Source organism: Homo sapiens, chromosome 12 (assembly GCF_000001405.40).
Source record: "Homo sapiens chromosome 12, GRCh38.p14 Primary Assembly".
In the NCBI taxonomy this organism is placed as follows: domain Eukaryota; kingdom Metazoa; phylum Chordata; class Mammalia; order Primates; family Hominidae; genus Homo; species Homo sapiens.
The window spans coordinates 96,980,852-96,985,996 of NC_000012.12; the positions used below are offsets into that span (position 1 = coordinate 96,980,852).

At 46.0% G+C, this 5,145-nt stretch overlaps 1 annotated feature.

Annotated features, from left to right (window-relative positions):
- Positions 4,699 to 4,918: a silencer, noted in NCBI's record as "silent region_4748". NCBI's record gives its function as "represses an Ori minimal core promoter by ATAC-STARR-seq in GM12878 lymphoblastoid cells {active_cell/tissue: GM12878}" and the evidence as "EXISTENCE:reporter gene assay evidence [ECO:0000049][PMID:35858748]".

Here is a 5,145-nt window from a genome sequence, read left to right on the forward strand (position 1 = left end):
TTTCTTAGTGTATATAAAACAAATTTTTAAATCCACATATAGTACAGTGTTTCCCACCCACCCCTGTCCGTGGTATGAATATCACAAATTCTCTAAATTTCCTGAACATGAGATAAATGTCAGACCATTCTATAAATTGACTTTATGAAGCATTTCTGAGCCGAGCCTTCTGACATTCACACCAATGTTTCCATAGTAACTAATGTGTTCAGAAGGGGAAGAGCAGGAGGAGACGAAAAACAAAGGAGACAATCCAAATAACAGAAATGCATAAGTAAGGGAGAGTAGAAGGTTCGAGAAACTTTGAACCATTGCTTCTTGTGGGAGAAAAGCATTCTTGTTCACGTGGGAGGCTTCCCCTGCAGACTGACTGACTCAGGGGGTGCTTACTGAAACAGCTCCCAAAGCGTGGCCAGCTGGAATACACTTGGACAATGACTCATGAATGCCAATTTGGACTGTCCTTTCCTCCTTTTATTGTAATCTTATTTTTTTCCCTCTGTTTTGAGGTGCCTTCGTTACTATGGTAACAGTGAACTAATTTGTGCCTGTTGCTGAACTGTCAAAAAAAAAAAAAAAGCAGTATCAAGTCAATTTAGAGAATAGTTAGAAAGCAGGGTAGGGAAACATAGGTGCTAGCAATGATCACACTTGTTTGCAAACATTGGAGTGAAGAAAGCTAGAGTGCTGTTAAAATATGGTTCTGTTTTCAAATCTTATTAAATGGTGCCCTACCAGGTGCGTTGAGAATGAGGTTTCAGTGATCAGTTATTCCTTTGTGACGTCTGCAGCACAGCATCTTTTTCTCTTGAAAACTTCAACAAACCTACTTCTTTGAAAATGTGTTGAATCCCCCACTTGCTTGTTTGTAGGGGGTAGATCAGGTAAATGGCTACAGGTGAGTTGTTTCTTTTTTTTTTTTTTGGAATCAATTGGCGGTGAGTGTGGGAAGGCATCTGACTCAAAGAAGGAAATTGGCACTTGTGCTAAGCAAAACAATGAGTCCCCGCAATGTCCATATCCCAGTCCCTGAAACCTGTGACTGTTACCTTACAGCAAAAGGGACTTGGCCAACGTGATTAAGTTAAGGATCTGGAGATAGAATATCCTAGATTATCTTTGTGAGCCCAATGTAATCACAAGGGTCCTTGCAAGAAGGAGGCAGGAATGTCAAAGTCAGAGAAGGGGATGTGATGAAGGAAGCAGAGGTCCCAGCGATGTGGGGCCGAGAGCCAAGTAGTGCAAACAGCCTTTAAATGCTGAAAGAGGCAAGGAAACAGATCCTTCCATGGAGCTTACAGAAAGAATGCAGCCCGGCTGATGCCTTGATGTTAGCCCAGTGAAACTGGCTTCTGACTTTGCTCTTCAGAACTGTAAGATAACAAATCTATGTTGTTTCAAGACACTGAATTTGGGGCAATTTATTACAGTGGTAGTAGGAAAAGAATATAGTATCCTTAGCCAGCTCTGGTCCCACCAGGTTTTCAAAGGCCGCCTGATTTGATGCCTTCTTACACAGCAGAGGTAAACGGAGCCATCCCCCGACTGCTGGCTGAGCACTTCTGGCCGGCTGTGTGTCTCTGAGAGTCTCCTGGGTAGGTCTTTCTTTGTGTGATACTTCAAGGACTTTAGGTCTGATCACCATACAGGTTCTGGCCATGGCAAGGCAAGCTGCTGAGGCAGAGGAGGCCTCCACAGTCCTGGCTTGAACACCTGGTGAGGCCTAGCACATCCAGGTCCTGGGTGAAAAGTCCTTCCTGAGAAAGAAAACTCTTGGCACTCACAATCCATCTCTCTGTGAAAGTTAAGCTGTTCACCGGGTAAACTGCCGTGTCTTTCCAACTAGATCATACATGTCTTAAGGTCCTAATTCATGCTTTCCAGCACTGTGTTGAGCACCCAGTAGATGCAATGAGAAACAGCAGCTCCTCCTTCTCTAAGCTGCTTCCTTAGTGGATTTTAATTTTTCCCAATGATTTCACTCTTACCATACAGGTGCTGTGTTAAGCATGGTGTATTGCATCACCCAAAGCTGACAACAACCTTGGGGGAAATCTTTTTCTCATTTTGCAGATGCAGAAATGAAGATTCAGAAATTACGCCTCAAAGGTTACATGGTGAATAAGTGGCAGAGCTGGGCTCTGAGCCCAGGCATGGCTTCCTGAGCCCTCCACTTTTCGTTGTTGCTGTGCTTTGGAGTCAGAGGCACCGTGGGGTGGAGATCAGTGGCCTTTTTTCCCTCTGGTCCCCAGTAAATGCCTTTTTCCTCTGAGCTCCAGCGTTGGCTCTTACTCCCAGTCAAGCACAGGCCTGGAGGAGGGGAACGAGAGGCTAGAGGGTGCCAAGGGGGCTCGAGACCAGGTAGAAAGCAGGGGTACTTTAGGTCCTGTGGGCAGCCTGGCTTTCAGACATTTGTTATTTTAGGTAGAAATCTGACATCTGTAAATTAGCACATCCCTAGAACTTTCTATTTTCTTGGTTTATTTTTCTCTATTTTCTTCTGTGGTAGGGAGAATTCCAAGAGGACTTGCAAGATTCCCAGCCCCTGGCGTGCCTGTCCTGTTGCTATGGACTGAATATTTGTGACCCCCAAATTCATATATTGAAGCCCCAATATGCAATATGATGGTGTTAGAAGGCAGAGTCATTGGGAGGCAATTAGTTCACGAGGGTGAAGCCCTCATGATGGGACTAGGGCCCTTATAAGAAGAGAACGGAGAGAGAGAATCTCTCCCTCTGTCATGTGAGGATACAGTGACAAGAGGTCCCTCTGCAAAGCGGGAAGAAGGCCCTCAATAAAAACCCAACTGGATGGCCCTTAGGGAACCTCGATCCTGGACCTCCCATCCTCCAGAACTGTGAGAAAGAAATGTTTCTTTTGCCCCCGATGAATGACACTTGTTATAGCAGTCTGAAATGACTAAGCCACCTATGTAATCCCCTCCCATATGAATATGATGGGATACCACTCCCATGCTTAGGTTCCTCATCAGTGGATTTTGGATTGAACTAATCAAAAAGGAGATGATCAAATAAGGTGAGTTTTAAAAGAGAGATTGGGAGAGCATGAGGGAAAAGAGCTCATGCATGCTGGGCTTTATATCTAGGTGACGGGTTGATAGGTGCAGCAAACCACCATGGCACAAGTTTAACCATGTAAAAAACCTGCACATCCTGCACATGTACCCTGGAACATAAAAAATAAAATAAAATAAAACATTAAAAGCAAAAAAAAAAAAAAAAGAGAGAGAGAGATTGGGAGTGTGAGAGGGTCTATAGAAGGGACCATATGGCAAGGACCAGAGTGGCCTCTTGGAGCGGAGAGTAATCCTTGGCCAACAGCTAGCAAGACAGTGAGACCTCAGCCATACAACCTCAAGGAGATAACTTCTGCTAATAACCTGAGGGACCATAGAAGTGCCCATTTACCTAGTGTAGCCTCCTGATGACTATGCAGCTAGCCAACACCTTTAGTGCAGCTTCGTGACACCTTGCAAGAAGAACCTGGTGCCCAGATACCTGATCCACAAACACTGTGTGATAGTTAATATGTGGTATTTTAAACTGAATTTGTGGTAATTTGCTACATAGCAATGGAAGACGAATACGTCTTTATAAAATTTATTTTAAAGAAGAAATCAGTCTCAGCTGGGCTAGATAGAAAAAGGAGACAGACTCTGTCTTTCTTCAGACGCGGTTTGAGAAGTTAATACCTTAAAACACTTAATAGTGAGTTGAAAGGAACATTCCCATTTGTCCAGGGTCTGTTTTTACAAAGATACGACTCCCTTCAGTAGTTTAAGTTGTCATCTCTGATCAGTTCCTTTGAGGGAGAATTCCAAGGGAAAGCTTTTTGGTTTCCTGAAACCATTGGAAACCCGTAAACATACCTAAAAAGTGGGAAGGGGGAAGCTAACACCGAGAATGTCATTGAAAGCTTTTAATGAGGAAGATCTGTGCTGGAGATTGGCCCCTGAGCAGGTCCGCATCTCTCTTAGCTGAAAGACGTTTCATTTTTCTTGGGAAAGTGGCCAGTCTTTCAAAGATGCAAGGCCCCTTCCAGAAGGAAAGTTACCTTGAAGGTTCCACTCCAGCCCCAGTGCTATTTGCTTTATAGGTGGCAAGGTTTTGTCCCTTCCATTACTTCCACCCTCCTCTAGGGATTCAAGGTACGCGCTTATTCAACCACATCATTCATTCATCAAACTCTCATTGAGCTATTAACGTAAAGCAGGCTGTGCTCAGCTCTAGGGGACCAGGAATGAACTAAACCCCTGTATTGCAGAAGGAGGAAGCACTTGATGTCGACACTAGCACGTCATAATAATTAATAAGCACCAACATTTTCCGAGGGCTGAGCGTGTCCTAGGAGGTGGGCTAAGAGGACCCACATGCCAAGCCCTGTTTATGCTACCCCAGGTGAATCCCATTCAAATGTACTTTCCAAAAGGGCAGAAGCTGGGTCTAATTTGATTGCTAAGGGACCCCTTGTGTCTCCACTATGCTTGGGACACGGTGAAGACCTCAAAGTGTATTTCTTGCCAATGAATGAATGAATGAATATACGATCATAACTGATAACTGTGGCTTAGATATTAGTGTTATGACCATTTCCTTTGATGAGGAACCTGAGGCTTCAGACCAGTTAAATAATTCATCCTCGATAGCCAAAACCCAGATTCTCTCCCCCATCAGACCACACTGCCATCTCCCTGGCTCTACCGGGCACCCCACCTGGAACCTAAGCCCACAGCAGCGCGGGCTGCGGGCGGCGAGGCTCGCCGCGGGCGCCCTCTGTCGGCGCTCGGTTGGAGGCGCAGCGGCCCCGCGAGCAGACGCGCAGGTGAGCGGACCCGCGCTGGGGTGCGGGGCAGGTGCGCGGCCCTGGGGGACAAGGAGGGGGAGAGGGGCGAGGGCTAACCACGTCGGCCCCAAACTAGCTGCCTGTCTTTAAATGTTTGCTTTCATATTTGGAAGTGCTGAGCGGGCACTTCAGTGCGACCTGGATATCACCTGTGGGTTTCAGGGCAGTCATCCTTGAGACCTCTTGTTCCTCGGGAGACCTCTTGGCCTCTTTAAGGAGCCAGGGGTCGGCGGCGCACTTAGGGGAGAAGGAGCAGGAGAACTTGAGTTAAGAATTGCCCC